Source organism: Homo sapiens, chromosome 14, assembly GCF_000001405.40.
Source record: "Homo sapiens chromosome 14, GRCh38.p14 Primary Assembly".
Classification (NCBI taxonomy): domain Eukaryota; kingdom Metazoa; phylum Chordata; class Mammalia; order Primates; family Hominidae; genus Homo; species Homo sapiens.
Genome location: NC_000014.9, coordinates 92,936,601 through 92,958,103, shown reverse-complemented (window position 1 = coordinate 92,958,103; position 21,503 = coordinate 92,936,601). Strand labels below are relative to the sequence as shown.

At 56.7% G+C, this 21,503-nt stretch overlaps 1 protein-coding gene and 1 long non-coding RNA gene across 7 annotated transcripts in view, besides 2 other annotated features; both read left to right on the top strand.

Annotated features, from left to right (window-relative positions):
* Positions 1–21,190, top strand: part of ITPK1 (inositol-tetrakisphosphate 1-kinase) — a 179,012-nt gene extending 157,822 nt beyond the window's left edge. For 5 of the 6 annotated variants that reach the window (NM_001142593.3, XM_047431351.1, NM_014216.6 and 2 more), the window contains 3 exons: positions 6,091–6,158; positions 11,611–11,773; positions 16,200–21,190. In NM_001142593.3, coding sequence (NP_001136065.1) covers positions 6,091–6,158; positions 11,611–11,773; positions 16,200–16,543 — 575 coding nt within the window. In that variant the 3' untranslated portion in view covers positions 16,544–21,190. The remainder of the gene's footprint in view (positions 1–6,090; positions 6,159–11,610; positions 11,774–16,199) is intronic. The other variant, NM_001142594.3, reaches the window with a different exon arrangement.
* Positions 5,734–6,234: an enhancer, noted in NCBI's record as "H3K4me1 hESC enhancer chr14:93418215-93418715 (GRCh37/hg19 assembly coordinates)". NCBI's record gives its function as "activates a minimal SCP1, AML or CMV promoter by ChIP-STARR-seq in primed H9 embryonic stem cells {active_cell/tissue: H9 hESC(primed)}" and the evidence as "EXISTENCE:reporter gene assay evidence [ECO:0000049][PMID:30033119]".
* On the top strand, positions 6,165–9,764 carry LOC124903366 (uncharacterized). Its single transcript, XR_007064312.1, has 2 exons — positions 6,165–7,759; positions 7,968–9,764. It is a non-coding gene; the product is annotated as an uncharacterized LOC124903366 (long non-coding RNA).
* Positions 20,283–20,784: an enhancer, noted in NCBI's record as "H3K4me1 hESC enhancer chr14:93403665-93404166 (GRCh37/hg19 assembly coordinates)". NCBI's record gives its function as "activates a minimal SCP1, AML or CMV promoter by ChIP-STARR-seq in naive H9 embryonic stem cells {active_cell/tissue: H9 hESC(naive)}" and the evidence as "EXISTENCE:reporter gene assay evidence [ECO:0000049][PMID:30033119]".

Sequence of the window (21,503 nt, the reverse complement as noted above, 5' to 3'; positions counted from 1 at the left end):
CTGTGTTCTTGGTGGGATGGAGAGGTGCTCTAAAGGTGGAAACAGTTGTGTACGGTGGATAAAGAGGTCTTGGGGAACTAGTAAAATGTCCCTATTCCCTGGGTCATTGTAGGGGGCCCCACCCACCTGAACCACCGTAGACTCCAGGATGCATCCAGAAGTGTTCTGTCCCCAGCATGCTTCTGGGGGACCCACACAATAATGATATTCATGGAGGAACACGCTGGGACAGGTGTGGCCAGCATGGCGTGGATTGGCCTTCCAGGGAAGCCAGGGCAGGTGCTGCCTGCTGTCTCCCGCTGAGCCATCTTTACCTTGGGTCTCATTTTCCCCTGGGGAGCCTGAGACAGAGTTGCCTGCTGCTACCTGCATAGCTGCCAGGGTAAATCAGACTGTGAGAAGCAGCAGCTGCCGGGTTACAGGTCTTCTTAGGTGCAGGACTCCTACCGTGCCAGTGAGCGTGTTTTGAGTCAGTGGACGGTGGTCTAGGAGTCCCGTGGGTGTCACATAGGGCGTTCTCTGCATGATGCTGTTGTCGCTGGGCCTGAGAAGCAGCCTCCCAGGGAGCAGCCTGTGGACCCCACTGCGCTGAGGGGCCTTCCTTCCGCCAGCTGCTCACCGCCCTCTCCAGCCTCAGCCATTTTAAAAACGGACACTGAGTTAAAGATTTGCTGGCAGTGGAGCTGCTCGAAAGGATGTTCTAGTGGCTTCTGAAGGCATCTCTAAGGCACGTTCTGGAAACCTTTGGAACAGTGGCAGTGTCTTGGGATAAGTAGCTTTCCAGGAGGACCCTTTGGAGAACACTCACTGCCCCGCTGTGGCTTGTTCAAATCAGCTGCACATTTCTTTCAGCAAGGGGAACCCACATCATCAGAAGCGTTCAGACGCCGGCTGTTTTACCTCCAGCTGAGCAAACAGATGTGTCCTCTTGGCATCCCTCCTCCGGGGACTGCCTGTGGCCATCCACATCTCCTGGCTGGTGTGCCGCCCGGCATGGAGGGGCTGCAGTGCTGCGGTTGCCCTCTCAGCCCTTCTTCCCCTAGATGCCTCTTCTCTTTCCATGGACACATGCAGAGCGTGGATACTTTGGAAACGTGCAGGTGTTCATTTTCCTCCGAGGGCAGGTGGCCTTCCTAGCTGGGCGTGTGGCTCCCAGACTCAAGGCTGTATTTTCAGGGTTTGGGACATCATGGTCCCAGCCCCTGCCCACTGGGTGGGAGCCAAATGCTGGAAGCATATTTTTATATGTGGCTATATACCACCAAGAGATATTCCTCCAAGTTATGGGCTGGAAGAGGCTGACATTTTTTAAAATGCTGTTTATTCCCTGATTTAAGAAAATAATAATGCTTTAAGTCTATGGAAAATATATTAAATTAAGAGGAGTTATATTTTATATCAACTCCTTTCTGTTTTTACCCAGGTCACTCCATCTCTAAAAGAAATTTACTGTCAGATCTCCTTTCTTATCCACTGTGGTTGGGTTTTTCTGTTTTCTCCTTTTTCCTTCTGGTTGCAAAATGCTGGGCCAGTTTCCGTCTCGACGCTGGGAACCATTAACAGCAGAGTGTGGGCTCCTATCCTGTATCTGTGAGGACGAGGACTCCTTGCCTGTGTGTCTTCTTGTGTGGCTATTTCTAGGTTGCCAGTTTGCCATAAAATGCATACCAGGAGACCAGACGTGGTGGCTCATGCCTGTAGTCCCAGTTCTTTGAAGAGACCAAGGTGGGAAGATTGCTTGAGGCCAGGAATTTGAGACCAGCCTGGGCAACATAGTGAAACTCCATCCCTACCAAAAAAAAAAAAAAATTAAAAAATTACCTGGGCATGGTGGTGTGCACCTGCAGTCCCAGCTACTAAGGAGGCTGAGGCAGGAGGATCGCTTGGGCCCAGGAGTTTAAGGTTGCAGTGAGCTGTGGTCATGCCACTGCATTCCAGCCTGGGTGACAGTAAGACCTTGCCTCTTAAAAAAAAAAAAAAAAGCAGACTAAGCCCAAATAGTAGAGAAACACACAGAGCTAAAAAGGAGAAATGTTTATTCTGTTCACGTGAACTAAGTAACTGTTAGTGTGTCTCTCCATCCCCAAAGCTGATTCTGTGTCCCCATCTCTAGGGCACTGTGCCAGGGAGCTAACGTGGGTCCTCTGGTTTCTACGTGTATGTTCTCTTTCTGGATAAGAAGTGTAATGCAACAGCAGCCTTTTAAGCTGGACCAGTTGGAAAGGGGGTTTGGGACTCTGGCCTCTTTCCGGCCCTCACCCCAGCTTTCCAATTTCCTTTGCCCAATGACATGTCCCCCAACTTCCCGTGGCCACGCAGGGATGGGGGTTCCTTGAGTGGGATTTTTCTGGACCTGGGATAGAGACAGGGACATGAGTCTTCACTCGACAACTGCCAGTCTCCTTTGCCTGTCAGCTGCACTTTTGTTTTTTACGTGTTGACATCTCAAATCAAGTGTGCCTTATAGCCAGTGGCATCCATGCAGAGGCTTTGGCTGGAGCTGAAGTCAGGTTGTGGCTTGTGCCATCCACCAGGAACATTTTGTGTTCTCTGCCTGTGGTTCGCATTCACAGAGAGACTGTTTCCCTCCCTCCACCCTGTGCCAGGGTAGAGATTAGCGGGTTCCTTTGCTCTCCCTTTCTATAGAGTGGGTTTATTTCTTGCTCGTCTTTACCCTGAGGACGCAGCGCAGGCTCCCAGCTTTATGCAGGTTCCCTCCATTATTCTCTCCAGCTTGAGCCTTGTTTCTCTTAGGCATGCATGAGTGGTACCTCTCACCATGTAGAGCGGGAGGCAGCAAACTTTTTTTTGCAAAAGGCCAAATTATAAACATTTCCAGCTCCATCCCAATTATTTAATGCTGCCGTTGTAGTGCAAAAGCAGCTGTAGATATGTAAATGAGTGGCACGGCTGTGTTCAAATGAAACTTTATTTACAAGTGCAGGTGGCCGGGCTTACAGCCTATAGTCTGCTGAGCTCCTCTCCAGAGCCTCTTAATAGTCAGTGATACAGCATTTATCAAACCTACCATGTGCCCAGCCCTGCGTGAGCTGCTGGGGATCCAGTCAGGGACTAGGCAGGCACCCAGCTTCCTGCCCTCATGAGCTTGTATTCTGGTGGGAGAAACTGCACACAAGGAGAGAAATAAGAAAAGGGTCAACTGTGGCCTGAGATAAGGGGTTCTGAGGGGAAGAGAATATGTCCTGGGATACCACTGGGTGAGGGGAGCCACTTGGAAAGGGCAGCTCAGGATTTCCCTCTGCAGAGATGATACTCATGGCAACTGGAAGATGACTTGGGTCACCATCTGTAGCATTAGGACACATTCTCCCCATCCCCTTCGCCTCCCAAGAGAGAGAGAGGAGATGAAGGAAATAAGGCTAAAAGCAGTGTGGCCCAGCTCGTGGCTGTACGGCTGAGTTGCTGGGATGTTTGGGGGCTAATCTTATCATTTATTCTTCTTTTAAACCTATTTTTTAAATCCATAAGTTGAGAAGAAAACACACACATTCTTCCTTTCATTGCCCTCCCTCCCTGTAGAACGTTGGTGGTAGTTCTCCACTGGTGCTATTGGGCTAGTCCAGGAACAGACTGCATGGGGCACCCAAAATCCAGGGTGCTGTCGTGAGTGAGGGCTTGCTGATACATGCTGGGAGCAACGCCCTGGTCTGGTGTGTTAGAGGAACCGACTCTCTTGGAGCTGGCCACCAGGTTTCTTTCCCTGATGCCTTCTCACTTGCCTCAGCTTTCCATCATCTCTTGGGTGACTGGCAGCCACAGGAGGCTGCTCCTACTCCCTCCGACCCCTGTTCAGACCGCACATAGAGAGGAACTGAGCCCAGACCATCTCTCACTGCCCTGCCAAAAGGGTCTTCTGGCCAGAGCTCCCAGGTCAGAATTAGCCAGAAGGGCCAGGTGCGGTGGCTCATGCCTATATCCCCAGCACTTTGGGAGGCTGAGGCGGGCAGATCACCTGAGGTCAGGAGTTCAAGACCAGCCTGACCAACATGGCAAAACCCCGTCTCTACTGAAAATACAAAAAATTAGCCAGGCGTGGTGGCAGGTGCCTGTAATCCCACCTACTCAGGAGGCTGAGGCAGGAGAATCACTTGAACATAGGAGGCGGAGGTTGCAGTGAGCCGAGATCGGGCCACAGCACTCCAGCCTGGGCAACAGAGTGAGACTCCATCTCAAAAAAATAAAAAGAAAAACAGAATTAGCCAGGAGGAGAAAAGAGCCCCTTTTGAAATGTCCTGGACTCCAGCTCTTCCTGCCAGGAGAAACTGTTGTGTTGCATGATCTGTCCAGGTGAGCAGACACTGGCCGGCCCCTCTGAGTACCCAGCTCTGGCCCTTCCTGGCACCCACTCAGCACCCACGTGTTCTCCTTGCGGCTCCTGCAGACTTCCCAACCTCCCTGATCTTTGCTGTGTCTACCTGCGCTTGGTGGCCCTTCCTCCCCCTGGGCCTTCTCCGCCATTCGGCAACTGCTATTCAGGATCTACAGGGAAATAGGTGGGAAGGTGCCCTGAGCTCAGGGGGCTGAGCCAGGCTGGGCTACAGGATGAGAAGGTGGGCAGCGTTCCCCTCCCAGCTGCTCGAGCTGTTCCAGCCGCAAGCCCACAGGGCTTATGCCATCCCCACAGACTCCCTCTTCTTGGCTGTCGGTGCCTTGGGAGTAGAGATCCTGGGGGCCACATGACACATGTCCTGCGGGGTGTTTATTTTCCCCAGGCTCCTCCCCAGGACCATATTTCATGGCCCCCGTCTGGACTGGCTCTGGTCAGAGCAGCAGGAGGACTGTCGGGCACACCAGGGCAGCCAGGGGCCTCTGTGCCCCGCTAGCGGGAGGGACGCCGGGTACATCTCAGCGCCTGCCTGCTTGGCTTCCGCCCGAATCACTCCCTCATGCATAATTGTTGCGGCGCTGTGAAGTCCTGGAGCTGATGGGTCGTTGGCAGCCAGATCAGGTGCCCCATTGGCATGGCCCCCAGCACGCAGCGGCCCTCAGCCAGTGCCCTCCTGTCCTCGCACATAGGCGCCTGGGTGCCAGGGGTGTGCATTGCATCCTGGGGGTGGGAGCCACAATGCCTCACCCTGCAAGGACTCAAGGAGGGGCTGCTGGGGCTGGCGGCCCAGGACGGTCCCGTGCCAGCCTTGGGGGAAGTCGTGGGATGGTGACAGACAGCCTTTTCCAGAACTCGGCCTGAGGCTCATGGTTCTGCAATTCTTGCATTTGCGTGCCAATGCTTCCCAGTGCCTACAAGCGTGTTTCTGACCAACCGACCTGACATTTTCCCCAAGTGACTTTGGCTTACTCCCCAAAGACATTTCTCCTGTGGGATCTACTTGCACTTTCAGTATTCTTTGGACTGGTCTGCCTCTGCGGGTCCCCAGTGGGCCTGTACGGGCCGGGTGTTGTGGGAGGCAGGCGGGAGCCAGACGTGTGGGGTGAGGGTATTTCAGACTCTCTGTGCCAGCTTCCGTTGCCAAAGAGAAATTGTGCTGTGTGCTTTCTTGGACGGATCCTGTGGAAGCCTACATTCTCTGATTTCCTATTTTTTTCCCTAAGTCGCTAAGAACCACCAGAACCCTTTGTATTTTAAGTGCTCACGTGCCGGTGCCAGCCTGTCCCTATGTCTCTAGCATGTTCCCCAAAAGAGAGTCCCGTGGGCTGGGAGCACTGGCCTAAATAACACCAAGAGGCTGCTTTGATGTGGGCCCTCTCTGGCCGTGATATTCAGGTGTTTAGCTGTCCCACCGAGCCCTTTTCCCCTACTTCCCTGTATAGTGACAGCACACTTTGGGAACAGGGCCTCAGGGAAAACCAGATGTGATGCTGTGAGATGGTAGCAGAGGTCAGCTCATTACATCGGTTACTTTTATGTGGGAGGAGAAGGTGAACCGGAGCCCTGATGGGGCACACATCCGTGCCCAGGGCTGGTGCCCAGCTTGCTGGAGCCCAGGGCTCTGCAGAGCCGGGGGCCACGTGTTGTGTGCCTGGGGTGATGCTGCCCCCTGGTGTCAGGTGGCGGCAGTGTGGTCCCTGCATTGAGGTTCTAACGCCGGCTCCTTCCTGTCGCTTTTTCAGACCGTGAGTCCATCTTCTTCAACAGCCACAACGTGTCAAAGCCGGAGTCGTCATCGGTCCTGACGGAGGTGGGTCCCTCTGCTGGGATGGCCTGGCCTGAAACTGCCCTCCCGTGGGCCTAGGTGTGGGCTGCTGTGGCCATGGGGTCCTTGGCCAAGCTCTCCAGCAGGGTAGGGTGGGAAGGACGTTTGCCTCCATGCCACAGGCCCCAGGAGGTTCCAGAGCCCCCTGTTCCTCTGCTTGCTTCGAGTTTTCATGCTAGCAGCCATTGCAGCCCGGCCCAGCACAGGGAGAGGTGAGGGGCACACTGGGCTTGCAGGGACAGACCACTCACTGCAAGCTGCCCACACAGAAGGTGTGCTGACCCTTCTCCCAGCATGAGGAATTGGAAGAACTGCTCTCTAATCTGCCTTGTTCCTGATTTTCAAAAAGGCTGTGGAGGCAGCACCATCTCAGTCCTTTGTCCTGCAGTGGTCCTGAGGCTGGCAGGAGTGTTACCCTGCCCCCAGCACTATGGGTAACGGGCGTTCTGGCCGTTCAGTGAGTGTTGCTGTGGCCAGTGTCAGCCCAGGTGCCCTGCAGTGCGGGTCGCAATCAGGTCTCATGGCATCAGAGAGGCTCAGTGATCTTTGCACGTTCACAAGGCTGTTCACACGGTGCAAGGCTGGGGTTTGACCCCAGATCTGTCTGACTCCAAAGTTGGATCTTCCAGGAATTTAGGACTTCTGACCTCACCAGTGATTCCTGAGCACCTGACCCCAAAGAATTTAGGAAAGGCTACCCTCTGCTGTTTGCCCGAAGTCCAGAGAGCCAGCGGCTACTTCCCTAAACTCAAGAGCCCTCTGCCAGGGAGCCTGCTGTTCTGAGGATGCATGTGTGCTGCTCTTCTGGGGGGCTTTGCTGGTCTCTTCCTCCCTGTCCTGGGCTGGCCTCTCCAACGAACCAGCCTCCACTCCAGTGGCAGTGCTCGTGTCCCTCGGGGGGCTGCCCCAGAACCCAGATGGCCTGTCTGTCTGTCTGTCTTTTGTGTCAGGGTCCTCTGAGGAGCCAGCAGTGTGCTGAGGATTAGACAGAGCACAGGCGTGGGCAGGACCTGGAGGGAACATCGCCATCCCTCAGGATGTTGACACATGTCCCCTGGGAACATATCAGGCTTTGGGAACAGATTTCAACAGAGCCTCAGTGCCTGGCTGAGAATATTATGAGATGTTCTGTGCAAGAGACGGCTTTCTTCTAAGCTTCAGAATCCTGGGGCTTCTTCCGTGCATGGCTTTGCTCTGGGGGCCTCGGCAGCCCATGCAATGGAGGGGATTTGGCATTTGCAGACTGAGTGTCCTCTCAGGGGCAAGGCCAGCAGCCGTGATGGCAGAAGGACCCATCCAGAAGTCACTGTCTTGGATTATCACTTGTTGACCTCAGCCTTAATCTCCTCATCTGTAAAACGGGAAGGGGTCAGCCTAGAGACACTGCAGGGCCCTTCCCTTCACCTCTGAGGTCTGCAGTCACCTCCTCCTTCCCTCAGCACATGGCTGCTAGTCAGGAATCTGCCAGGACTGACGATTTCCAAAAATAGAAAAGAGAAATGCGGTCAGCACCACCTTTTCCACTGGGACATCAGCCCCTCCTGGACGCCCGCAGGCTGGCCTGACAGAGCCAGCTCTGTTCCCAGGTGCGGAAACACGCTTGCTGCTCATCCACCTGCCCCTGCCCACCTGGGGCTCCTCCAGTCCTGCCTTGGCCTCCCTGGGAGTCTGGTGCAGGAAGCCCTCCTCTGGCCTTAAAGCACCCCCTCCCTTCCCAGTGGGATGCCCCTGCGGATGGGCCTAGCCCCACCGAACTTGGAGGGCCCCATACATTTTTTGCTTTTCGAAATTCAGTCTAGGGTATTAGTTAAGAGCACAGACTCTGACGGGACTGCCTGGGGTCCGGCCCAAGCTAAGGCGAGTCGCGTCGCCTCTCTGAGCCTTGGTTTCTTCTTCCTGCCCCAGAAGGATTCCGGAGTCCAGGGAGTTCCTGGGTGAGAAGCACCCACCGCAGTTGCCAGGTGTGCAGTATGGGCACGGTCTCGGCAGCCGGGTGCCGAGGCCCACTGGGGACCCATGAACGCCTTCCCAGTTCCTCTGTCACCTCCTTGCTTTCCAGAACGTCATCAGATCACTTGCTTTGAGGGCCCCAGGCATCTTGTCCTAGGATGGCTATTTGGTTTTGGATAACCAGACAACTTCGGAAGGATTTCTGAGATTCTGCAACCAGGCCGAGAGCACTTTTGTAAATGGCGTGCCATGGGGCGTGTGGCAGTGCAGCAGCCAAGCTCCCTTGCTGCTGGGCCTGTGCTGTCAGCCTGAGGCAGCAGCTCCTCCCGTCGTCGGCACCACAATCTCACAGCGAGATGTTTTTATTACCCCATTTACTGGGGCAAGAAAACAAGGCCCAGAAGGGTTCTGTTATGGCTTAGGGTACACAGTGGAGAGTGGGCAGCTCCAAGGTATCCACCAGGGTCTCTCTGACTCAGTGAGGGCCTTGGGCTGCAGGATGAGTGGCTGAGCTGCCCCACTAGGCTTAGCCTCTGGCCCCCACTGGCAAGAGTGACCCAGGAGGCTCAGAAAAGCTAAGTGGCTGGGCGCGGTGGCTCATACCTTTAATCCCAACACTTTGGGAGGCCAAGGCGGGCAGATCGCTTGAGCCCAGGAGTTTGAGACCAGCCTGGGAAACGTAGTGAGATCTTTAATCCCTACCAAAACAAAATACAAAAATTAGCAGGGCGTAGTGTTGCTTGCCTGTAGTTGCGGCTACTCAGGAGGCTGAGGTGGTAGGTTCATTTGAGCCCGGAAGGTCGAGGCTGCGGTGAGTTGTGATCTCGCCATTGCACTGTAGCCTGGGCAACAGAGCAAGGCCCTGTCTCAAAAGAAAAAAAAAAAAAGAAAGAAAAGTGCTAAGGGATGAGTGTCTCTTACAGCCAGGCCACTCCTGCCCCCTAGAAAGTATTTCTTCCAGATACGACACCAAGGCCTTGAGGCTGTGAGCAGGGGGGCCCTGTGTGTCCTGCAAAGCCGGGGTGGGAGATGCGCTGGTGTAGGCCTCAGAGCGTGGGTGATATCCAGGCGTGGGTCCCTCAGAGCGTGGGTGATATCCGGGTGTGGGTCCCTCGGAGCGTGGGCGGCGCCCGGACTTGGAGCGTGGGTGGTGCCCGGGCATGGGTCCCTCGGAGCGTGGGCGGCGCCCGGGCGTGGGTCCCTGCTCAGCGCTTCCCTCCCTGGAAGTTCCCAGTGGTTACTTCAGCCTCCTGTGCTTGGGTAAGGGCCATTTTTCTTGGTGACCAGGGCTCTGTCCCCAGCCCTGTCGATCTGCTTTCACTTTTTTTTTTTTAATTCAGGTGCACCTGGCACAGCGGCTCACACCTGTAATCCCAGCATTTTGGGAGGCCAAGGAGGGAGGATTACTTGAGGCCAGGAGTTTGAGACCAGCCTGGGAAAGATAGTGAGACCCTGTCCCTACAAAAAACAAATAAAATTAGCCAGGCATGGTGGCACACGCCTGTAGTCCCAGCTACCCCAGAGGCTGAGGCCCAGGAGTTCAAGGCTGCAGTGAGCCGTGATTGCACCACTACACTCCAGCCTGGGTGACAGAGTGAAACATTGTCTCTAAATAAAATAAAATTGAGGTAAATTCACATACATAAGATTAACCATTTTAAAGCGAATAATTCAGTGGCAATTAGTACCTTCACAGTGTTGTCCAATCACCACCTCTATCTGGTTCCAAAACATTTTCATCACTGAGAAGAAAACCCTGGGCCCACCGGCACTCACTCCCCATTTCCCCCACCTCATGTTATTGGCAGCCGCTGAGCTCGTTGCTGTCTCTGTGGCGTTACCTGTCCTAGATATTCCGTAGAAATGGAATCACACAATATATGAGCTTTTGTGTCTGGGTTCCTGCACTCAGCATGATGTATTCAGGGTTCCTCCGCTTTGTGGCATATGTCAGAAGTTCATTCCTTTTTATGGCTGTACAATATTCCGTCGTATGGATAGACCAGTTTTTGTAGCTGTTCATCTGTGGATGCACGCTGGGGTATGAATAACACCACGGTGAGCGTGGGTGGACAGCATCCGTTTGAGTACACGTTCTCAGCTCTGGGGTGTGTACCCCGGAGCAGAACTGCCAGGTCAGATGGTTATTCCATCTCCAGCTTTTGAACCCAGCTTCACTTTTGTCTTTCATGGATCAGCCACTCCCTTCCCCTTTGGCCCCTAAGCCCACAACCCCCAAAACTTCACTATTTATTGAGCACCTAGTGTGAGCCCTCCCTTGGCTGATTTAGAGGAGACGGGATGCAGTTCCTGCCCTAGAATTCAGATGAATCTCCTCCCAGCCGGGCACATGCTGTCCACACCTTATCAACATAAGTCTGAGATGGAGGCCTGTTGCTTCCTTTTACAGAAGAGCAAACCTGAGACAGAGAGGCCAAGTACTGTTTCCGAAGTCCACAGAGCTAGGAGTTCACTGTCAGGTTTGGAACCCACGTCTCTCTGACTCCAGAATCCTTCCCAGTGCAGTGCCCCACTTCCTTGGAGGCCTTGGCTGGGGGCAGGCTGAGCCCATGACAGTGTGTGCCTGTCCCAGGCCAGCTGCGACAGGCACAGGACTTGAGTGGCAGAGGGGAGTGCCGGGCTGGGAGGGAGAACAGAGCAGGGTGGCCTGACCAGCACATGGAAACCTTGAGGAAAGCTGAGCTTGGACCCCAGGAGGCAGGCAGGAGCAGCAGAGCAGCCTCTCTGGGGAGCCCGCATTGTTTAGGGTGTGAGTTCATTTGGAAACAGCATTTTTTGGGAAGGAAGACTGGCCTGCTGGGCCACAGGGCCCTCACCCTCACCTCCTTGGGGGTCTCTGTGATGGCAGGCAAGTGGGGGTCTGATCAGAACTCCTCACTTGTGCCCGGCTCTGCGCCCCAGCTGCTCCTAGCCATGTCCCGCAGCTGCTGGCCTCAGCACCTTTGCCTCCCCTGTGTCCTCCCTGGGGCCGCTCTCCTTCTCCCACCCCTCCCAGGGGCCCACATCCTCCTGCCTCCAAGTTCCGGCTTCGGTGCTCTGCACCATGTCTTCCCGGGTCCCTGACACACTCTCCATCTCCTTCCTCCCTGTTAAAAGGCTTTGGTTTTAGAGGCTAAAAAATATGGGTCCAAATTCTGCCCTGTGCTTTTGAGCTGTGTGACTTTAGACCAGCCCCAACCCTCTCTGAGCTCCGGTTTCCCTGTGTGTAATGTGCAGTGCTGGCACTGGCCTTCCAGGCTGTGATGAGCCCACAGGAGGTAATGAGCCTCACACACCTCGTGCCTGGCGGCCCTCAGAGGGCAGGACCTGGCCAGTGGCCGCCCCGTGCTCACCACAGTAGGTCTGTCTGGCTTCCTGGCCTGAAGCATGCCAGGGCCTCGTGGCAGCTGGTGTGGGGGGTCTGTCTGTGTGGTGTGGCTTCGCAGCTCCTCGGCCCATGGCCTGACTTCCTTGTGTATGTTGGCAGCTGGACAAGATCGAGGGCGTGTTCGAGCGGCCGAGCGACGAGGTCATCCGGGAGCTCTCCCGGGCCCTGCGGCAGGCACTGGGCGTGTCACTCTTCGGCATCGACATCATCATCAACAACCAGACAGGGCAGCACGCCGTCATTGACATCAATGCCTTCCCAGGTGAGTGGCGGCCAGGCCACCTCCACTGACCGGCCTCCAGAGACTGTCCTCAGGTGACCAGGCAGGTGAGGCGGGGTGACTGAGGCCAGAAAGCCAGCTTTCTCCCTCACCACGAGGTCCGGGGAGGTGCAGCCCCGAGAAGCCTCAGCCTCACCTGCGCGATGGGCTTACGGGGTGTGCGAGGAGGGAGGGAGAGCTGCACGTCCACCTGGGGAGCGCCAGGCACAGTGGCCACAGCACGCATGTCCCTCACCTCCTCTCTCCACCTGCGTCATTGGTGGATCAGCCCCTCCCCCAGGCCCTCCTCGATTTAAGGAGCAGGAAGGACCTTGAAGGGATTACAGCCCCCTGCAGTTTACATGTTGGGAAACTGAGGCCCTAGAGAGGAGGAAGCTGTTCAGGCCCCACAGCACATTGGTGGCAGGCCAGAGACTCCCAGGCTCACGTTGCCTCCACCACCCTGAACTGCAGCGCCGGGCAGAGGCCTGGGGAGGAGCCCTGGGCTATGGAGTCTGTTCCCTGCTGCCAGCTGGGCCCTAGGAACCCACTGGCATTGAGCCAGGCTCTGCCATGTGCCCCTCAGCTCTCAGTGAGGGGCCCTATGGGGACCGCAGGAGCAGAGCCCCAGCACAGGGCATGAGGAACGATGGTGTGACATCACAGCTCGCGGTCACCAGGCTGCGTGCCTCGCCCTGGGGACACCAAGGCTCAGTGGCTTGTTTACCTCCCGCAGCAGCTCAGAGACAGAGCCGCGCTTGATGCCTTGGTGCCTGCCATTCCCCAGATGGGGGTCCCCCGTTCCTTTCTCCATCCTGACCCTTGTAAAGCATCTGCTGTGGAGGTGAAGCCAGCCTTGCTAGCTGCTGAGGTGCAAAAACGTTCAGGAAATGCCTCCTGCCTTCAGAGACTGTGCCTGGCAGGTGGGGACTCGGGGTTGTTTATCGTGGAGGTGAGGCAGGACCTTGGCCCCACACACTGGCTGGGCACTTTCTGTGTGTGTCACCTCCGCTCGTCTGAGAGCATGCGCAGGCGCAGTCAGCAGCACCGGCCACAGCAAGGAAGCCAAGGCTCAGAGGAGTGTGCTGGCTCCTGTCATTCAGCTGGTGTTTACCCAGGGCTGCTGTCGCCCAGGGCTGCTGTGTGTCCCAGCTGGTCCAGATGCTGATGCAGCTTGAGCTCCACTGCCATGCCCTGCCTGGGGAGAGCTCACCCCTGTCTGGAGGAGGCGGAGGACAGAGCGGGCGGTCAGCGGGCTCCTCTGTGAGGTGGTGACACTGGAGCACAGGGGCAGGTCCCAGGAGAGGCACCGTGGAGCCCTGTGGCTACAGCAGGTGCAGCTGCGGGGCAGGAAGGCTGGAGGACAGAGTCAGGGGAGCTGCGTGTGGTGAACTGAGGACGTTGGAGCTCTCCCTGGGAGTCGGGGAGCAGCCACCGTGAGATCTGTGCTTGTGAACTGAAAGGGCAGACCCGTGCGACGATCGTGTTTTTCTCCATTGCCTCTGGGTGCAGTGGGGAGGAAACCATGGGTTTAGCTGGAGCTGGGATTTCATGGGGTTTTGCTGGCAGGTATGAGGGAACCAGGGCGCAAGGGACATTCAGGATAATGCAAGGGACGTTCAGGATAAGGAAGTGTGGGATCTAAACCACGGAGCATGTTTTGAGTGGCAGAATGAAAAGGGGACAACGTCAGTGGCTGGAGGGCCAGGGGGGCACAGGGAGGCCTGTTAGAAGAGAAGTTCTGGAAGGAGGGAGGAGACAGGAGAGGGTGGGAAGCTTTGCACCTGAGCAAGGCCAGTGCCTCCCAACACAAAATGTGTAGATGGTCGCGATCTATGGGTGCAGATAAGGGATGGCCTTGTGAGTCAGTGTGGGGCACTGTGAGCCAGTGTGGACAGGGAGGGTTCTTCCAGAGAAGCCAAGAGAAGGGCCACCCAGATGGGGTGGGACTATGGCTGAGCCTGGCGGAGACTGGTGAGGGAGCCTGGTACTGAGGAGAGGCCCAGGGCTCTGGCAGGGCAGAGCTGGTTCCCCGGGAGATAGCTCAGTGTGTCCGCCTTACCATAGAGCACCCTTTTGGGGCCAAGCAGAGCAGCAGGCCTGTTCTCCTGCACCCCACAGGAGGCACCTTGGGCCATGGGTGTCCAGCAGCACGTGGGTGGGAGAGGCCTGGGAGAGGGCCCCTCCAGAGAGGGGCTGGCTCTGGAGTAATAACCGCAACAGCTGCAAGCGCTGATGACACCGTGAGCCAGGCCTGCCCCGACGCCTCACTTCGTCCTCACGAGGCGTTGTGCAAAGGGCCGCTGGAATCTCTGTGTTGCTGATAAGAATGTGAGGCTGGGGGTTGAGTGGCTTGTCCAAAGTCACGTGGTGGAGCTGGATGGGGCCCAGACTGTCAGCCCCAGCCTTTCCACCTCTCAGCTCCAGCCATGGGTTCGAATCTTGCCTCTGCCTTTACAGTCTGTGATGGCACAAGCCACCTAACGTTTAAGTCTCAGTGTTCACTGCAGTGGGAACCAGTTTCCCACCCTGCAGACAGAGGAGATGGCTTTTGCACAGTGCTGGTATGGAGCTGGCACCCTGCCCTGCAGGTTCATGCCTCAGTCCGCTCCCCGAGCTCCTGTTTATCCTCAGGCCTCCGTGGAGGCAGCCGTCTCTGCACCACCACAGAAAGCGGCCTCCCTGCCCTGGGCCACTGGGCGTTGTCTGGGGATGCTGGAGGAGGTTGCTGGAGAATGGCTCCCTGTTCCCTGGCGCTGACCTGATGGTGGAGCTCCTCCACTGCATTTCTCCCTAGGCACCCAACAGCCATGCCCGTGCCCGGGACACCTACCCTGCCCTCCAGGCCTAGCCCAGGGCCGACGGACACCCCGGGTCCTATGGTGGGGGACCTGGCACCATGTGGTATTCAAGACACACACAAGACCAAGGGCGTCCTTCAGATCCCACTCTGCCTCTTAGGAGCCACCTTGAGCCTCAGGGTCCTCACCTGTGAAACGGGCTGCAGGGGTGCGGTGGGCTGAGGACCGTGGCGCTCACAGCCCAGTGGCTGCTACTTCCCGAGTGCTGTGAACGCCATGGACGTCATCACTGCCCTCCCCGTGGTGGTTAACGGTCATGCCTCCTCATCTGTAAACTGGGGACAGCATTATGAAGATTAGGCGAGAGGATGTTGCGGGACGCTCGCACAGTGCCAGCTCGGGAGGCGCCGCTTGCCGGCCAGAATAGCCATCTTTATTTCCACCGCGGGCACCTGCATCCCCTCTCAGACTTGGGCTTCCTCAAACCACAGCAGTTGTTTGCTGAATAAGTAAGGGCATGGGCAGATTCAGCAGTCTCATCTTCCAGGCCCCTGGGCACTGTAAGAGGTGGCACAGGGTGCCCCCGTCTGAACCTTCATTCCCACCCTGGTGGGGCTGATGGTTGTAAATGTTGTCCCAGAGGACAGCCCAGGGTTTTTGAAAACTCCCGCCCCTCCAAGTTGGCTCAGGCAGGCAGGGCGCTTGCCCTGTGTGAGTCTCTTTTGGAGCAGTTTGCTGGGAGCCAGCAGAATCCTCCCCTGAGATCCGAAACCTGCTTGGTGGCTCCCGAGGGCTCTGCTGATGTTCGCAACTGTGTTAGGAAGCACTTGCCCCAGGCAGGTACCATGGTTTCTGTTCTGTTCCCCTCTGTTAAGGGGAGCATGTGATGCTGCGCCCTGGAGCTTGTCTCAGGCCTGGATGTTGCTAGTGATGCCCAGCATTTCCGTTCCTTGGCTGTGATCCTCAGAGAATGGGACACAGGGGGCCTCCCTGCAGGTATTTTGTGGTGAGAAGGAAGCAGACTCAGTTGGGGCGGCAGCTGCTTTGTGAAGCAGACACCACTCACATCCCAGCCTCTCTCAGTAGTGCCACAGCAGCCTCCACCTGGGCGGCAGCCTTCTCTTCTCAGTTTGCAGACAGGGAAGCTGAGGCTCAGGGTGGAAGCGGTCTCCGGGACTCAGCCTGAGGCCAGACTCAGCTGGGCCTCAGGAGTATTTATTACTCCAAGTGTGTGGAGCTGGCTTTGGTGCTGCTACCTCCAGCCACGCCAACATCCCCTGCACATGTACTGGCTTTTACCATGCAAGTGGATGGGTGGGTGAGACAGTGGAGCTGTGCCTGAGAGGAACAGGGACAAGCAAGTTTCATCCTCAGCTCAGGTTCTTCAGCTTCTCACACCCTGGCAACAGCTGAAGGTCGAGGAGCACGCACCTGGTTGGGCGTCCAAGCTTTTTGACTCCCCTCAGCCCCCCTTATCTGCTGAGCCTCACGTTTTCTCTGTAAATGGGACGCTGACAGCACACCCTGCCTCATCCCAGGAGCCCATCGGTTCTGCCTCCTCCTCCTCCTCCCTGCATGATGCGTGCCCCTGGCTCACGCCCCTTGTGCTGTCTCTCTCCCACCCCCAGGCTACGAGGGCGTGAGCGAGTTCTTCACAGACCTCCTGAACCACATCGCCACTGTCCTGCAGGGCCAGAGCACAGCCATGGCAGCCACAGGGGACGTGGCCCTGCTGAGGCACAGCAAGCTTCTGGCCGAGCCGGCGGGCGGCCTGGTGGGCGAGCGGACATGCAGCGCCAGCCCCGGCTGCTGCGGCAGCATGATGGGCCAGGACGCGCCCTGGAAGGCTGAGGCCGACGCGGGCGGCACCGCCAAGCTGCCGCACCAGAGACTCGGCTGCAACGCCGGCGTGTCGCCCAGCTTCCAGCAGCATTGTGTGGCCTCCCTGGCCACCAAGGCCTCCTCCCAGTAGCCACGGAGCCGGGACCCAGAGGGGCAGCGCAGGGCGCAGAGCACACCCGCTGGGCCAGCAGCTCCCAACGGCGATGCTACTACTAAGAATCCCCAGTGATCTGATTCTTCTGTTTTTTAATTTTTAACCTGATTCTCTGATGTCATGATCTAAATGAGGGGTAGTGGGGGATGGAAGAGAGTACCAGGTGGTCCACCGTTGGGGAGTGGGGCCGTCCGCCTGCTCTCTACTGTGCAGACCTCCTAACTGAGTTTACACACGCTTGTGTTTGCAACACTAGGTCTGGATGGGAGGTGAGGGGTGTGCGTATGGCTGCCATGCCAGTGTCTGTGCACATCCCTGTCTGTTGGTCTCCATGGCCACTGTGGACCGGGACCCTTGGGGGAAGCCTGCCCATGTCGGGCTGTGGGAGGCTGATCGGTGCATGTGAGAGTGGCTTCCCTTCTGCCTGACTCCCCACTCCCTGACCTGCCCCTTCCTTGTTTTTCCTCCTACTGGTCTCCACCAAGGCTTTGTTAGCCCCCACCCTGCCTGGTGTGCAGCTAACCCCTCCCTCCCCACAGCCAGAGGAGGCCACAGACCCCTCAGGGGAGTTCCGCGCTGGGGTCTGGGCTGTGCTCCCTCACTAAAGGGAAGGAAAGGAAGCTGGGCGTCCTCTGGGCCCCCCAACACACGTCCCATTTAGCCCTGCACAGCGGTCTCCTTCCCCTAAGCCAGCACTGCTGCTCCCTGGAGCCCGGGAAGGAGGCTGCCTGGCTGGAGGCCCGAGCCGATGGCGCCTGTGCTGAGGATTTGTGCTGTGATTTGGGCAAATCATTCCAGGTCTTTGGGCCTCCACCCCCTTGTCTCTAGTGGACATTTGAGATCAGAGAGCACCACAGGGCTGGCTTTGTGCCCTAACCCCTGGGATGCAGCCTGCCTTTCCATAAAGTCACCTAGGTGAGGATAGGCGCGGGAGCCTCGGCATGACACCATGGAGATCGGGGCCCTCTTCCCAGTGGGTTCACTCCTTTTCACACCTGCTGGGTCCCTCCTCACCCAGCAGGCCTGGTCCACCTCTCATTGCAAGCCCCAAGCACTGAGCCAGCAGGTGCCAGGGAGCCACCCGCCCCCCATCGCTTCTGCACACCTCAGACTCACCCCATCACCTTGGCAGCAAAGCACTGGCTCTGCCGTCTGACCCCTGATCCAGGCAGCCCCCTCTGCAGAGAAAAGGGTTGGGGAGAAGCCTCTGCAGTCCTGGAAGATGTGGGGTGCTGGGTGAGAGGCATCAGCCCCCACAAGTATGTTTTTGTGTCTTAAGATAGCAGTTTACTTTGAAAAAGTGAAAAAGGCTTCCGGGCTGTCCTCTGCCCAGTGAGATGGAGGACGCTAGAGAAAGTGCTGAGTGTCCCGAGAGAGGCCCCCGAGCCAGTGCATGGAGGTCCTTCGGCCTGGCTCAGCTGGGCTGCAGGATGCCCACTTTGAGGAGGGAGGCACAGGGCTTGGGCGAGGGGCAGAGGCCATCAGAACTGCCCGGCTTTTTTGGAAACTGAGGACCCAACAACTAACCACGTTTACACGACTTGAGTTTTGAACCCCGATTAATGTCTGTACGTCACCTTTCCTAGTTCTGACCCTGAGCCCTGGGGAACAGGAAAGCGTGGCTGGCCTCTTGCACTGCTTTGTCTCCAAAATAAACTACTGAAATCAAACCGCATTTCACACGTGTTTACACATGTTGCTCAAGTTTGTTATGTCATACTCCCAGTCCTTAAAAGACGTTTAATAAAACAGCTTTACCTTTTAAAAATAAAATTTCAATCCCAGTCTGCCTCAGGTACGGGTGGGGGTGTGCAGCGTGACTCCTGGCTGTGTTCCTGTACCGTTTGTGGCCTCCGGGGTCTTGCGCGTCCAGGGCCCAGATACCGAGTAACTGCCATGTGGTGTCGTGGTGGCGTCCATAGGCCTCCGTGGTGGGGCGGGGGCGGGGCTGTGGGTGTGCAGGGCAGCTGCATTTTCCAAGAGTGGAGATGGAGGATGGAGATTTGCTTCGTAAAGGCCTGGGAGCTACATGGGAGGTAGGGAGGGGCCAGCCACACCCAGGGCTGGGGGGCCGGTGGACTCTGCCCAGTGAAGCCAGGGGAGTGTCAGCAATGAGGGGCCTGGACAGCGACGCGGGACCCGCACCTGGGAGCGGCAGAGATGGAGCCCAGCTCGCTAAACGTACCCTAAGGGTGCACGCTGACCATCTTTGATCCCTGGACAGTGTCCATAGAGTTGTCTCCCCTTCGGTCACATTGTCCCTGGCCTTGGAGTTTCTGCCTCAGGGAAAGACCCACTAAAACCACCCGGGCTCTGGCGGCCTCCTCTTCTCCAGAGCATGGTGGCGCTGCCTCCTGAGCAGAGTCACTGAGAGTGTCTGGGTCCAAGGAAGGGACCCACTTAGCAAAGGTTGTTGTGTGGTGCTGTGCAGGCACGGCGCCTGGAGTTGGCCCCGCCAGCATCGGGGTGGCTTGGGGCTCTGGTTCCTAAGCTTCTGCTTCTGAGTTGGTCAGCACGTTGGCTCTGCGCCCTGCAGTGCCTGTCTTGATGGTGGTCCCTGGATGTGCTGAAGGGCTCCAGGAGCAAGGGGCCAGACCACACTTTGGCTGAGTCCTTGGGTAGTTTCAGAGGGTCACCTGCACAGTCTGCATTGAGCACCCTGGGGCTGAGGCCGTGGGTCAAGTTCTGCCTGACAGTGCTTTGATTATATGGTGATGTGATTCTGCAAACATAACCCCCCAACTGAGTGCCAGCTGCTGGGTGTCCCCACCCCAAGAGCCAAGGGGAGGCCACCCTGGAACTGGTGCTTTGCCCTTGGTGTCATGGAGGTGTCTGGGTCCACACGTGGTGGGTGGGCTGGGCCTGCAGTCACCCAGCATGGCCGGCGGGATTGGACCCAGCTGCAACCTGGCAGGTTCCATGGGGCTTCCTGTGCCTGGGCCTGCCTGTGTCTCATGCCTGTCAATAAAGGAGAAAGCAACCTGGGAAAAACATTCCTCTCTGTACCCAGGGGACTGCCAAGTGTGCTTTATAGAAGGCTGGAAGACCGACTGAAGTAGGAAGCTGTCACATGTTTGAGCCAACTGAGCAAAGCAGCTGTTGCCTGCCAGACAGCCACCCCAAGACCAAGGGAGCCAGCCTGTCGTTTGTCCTTCTAGCCTGGAAGACCAGTTCTTGGCTCTTGGGCACTCACATTGGCCACTGGCCACAACTGCTGAATGGCTTCACTAATGTCCCTGGGGTCTGTATCTGCCCTCTCTTCTATTCCCTAGAAACTCTGGCCGGGCATGGCGGCTCACGCCTGTCATCCCAGCACTTAGGGAGGCTGAGGCAGGTGGATCACAAGGTCAAGAGATCGACACCATCCTGGCCAACATGGTGAAACCCCATCTCTACTAAAAATACAAAAATTAGCTGGACATGGTGGTGGGCGCCTGTAGTCCCAGCTACTTGGGAGGCTGAGGCAGGAGAATTGCTTGAACTCGGGAGGCGTAGGTTGCAGTGAGCCAAGATCGCACCACTGCACTCCAGCCTGGCAACAGAGCAAGACTCCTCAAAAAACAAACAAACAAACAAACAAACTCTGATCATTCACCCGGTGGGATCCCCGGCAGCTCCTTCTCCTTCCCGAGCTGTGGCTCATGGGCCATTGGATTCAGAGACCTTGAGCTGGGTGCTGGCTGCCCTAAAGGAGCACGACCCCTCCAGCCTGGTGACCGGGAGGCAGAGAAGTGCAGCTGTCCTTGACAAAGGCCCAGCCTCTGCTGCCTCAGGCCAGCCTGGCCACACCCCGATGCCACAGTCATCTGCCCCGCCCAGGCATAAGCCTGACTCAGGTGATACAGGCGAGGCTTCTCCCATGGGTCCTCCCCTTGTGAGAAAGGGTCTGTGCTGTGTACCTTCTCTCTGCACAGCCATTGTCAGTGTGGTTTGGAGTGAGTGAGCCTCCCGCACTGCTCAGGGGAGAGCTGGTGAGCATGACTCCATGGCCTCCTGCTGGTTGGGGTCTTCTTCTGATTCTCACCCGCAGGAGCACCCAGACCCCCCCTTTTCAGAAATGATTACATTTTCCCTTCAAGAGTCATCTGTGACCTGGTGGTGTGGAGGGACTGTCCCCTCCTGCAGCCTGGCCGACCCCCTTCCTCCAGGGCTGTGTGGAATCACCTCTCAGAAGCTCACTCTGAAAAGCCACTCACAGGGATTTCACCAGGATGTTGCTGTTCCTGCCGACACCTGGGCTTTGTGACAAATGCTGTTTGCTTCAAGCTGTTCACAAGCAACTTCACCAGAATCCCAAGCTGGTTCGTACTTAATTTGTGTACATACATATGCATAATATACATGACCATGTATGAGATACAGACACCATGGCTTCTGTCCATTGGCTCATTCGCCTGGTCGCATGTTCACTCCATGAGGTTAGGACACTGCGGGTGGCTTTGGGATGGGTGGTTTCAGGGACAAGGTGTCGCTATGATCTCTGTATTTGCTAACTAGTCTTGTTTTGATTTCTAACGGTCTAGTGGAGTACAGTTAATGTTGTGTTTATTTCTGTAACTGTAGGGGTGGAGTATAAACCTAACTTTTGGAAACATGAAGAAATAAACAATAGCGCCAGCCGTTCGGAGGGTGTCCTTCTGTGCTTTGCAGGGGGCAGGGGGTGCGCATTAGCCGCCATGAGCAGCCCATCCTCATCAGAGAAACCCAGACTTGCCGAGACCCCTCAAACGACTCAACACCATTGCAGTGGTTTTCTGTGTGGGCTCCTGATCATCACCATAATCTGGTAAGGAGATAGTAAGTATTGTCTCCATTTTATAGATGAGGAAACTGAGGCACTGAGAGGGCCAGGAGCGCCTGCCCAAAGACTCCTGCTCATTAATGGCTGGGCTGGGGAGTTCAACTCCAGTCTTAGGTCCAAATCTGAGTTCCCACC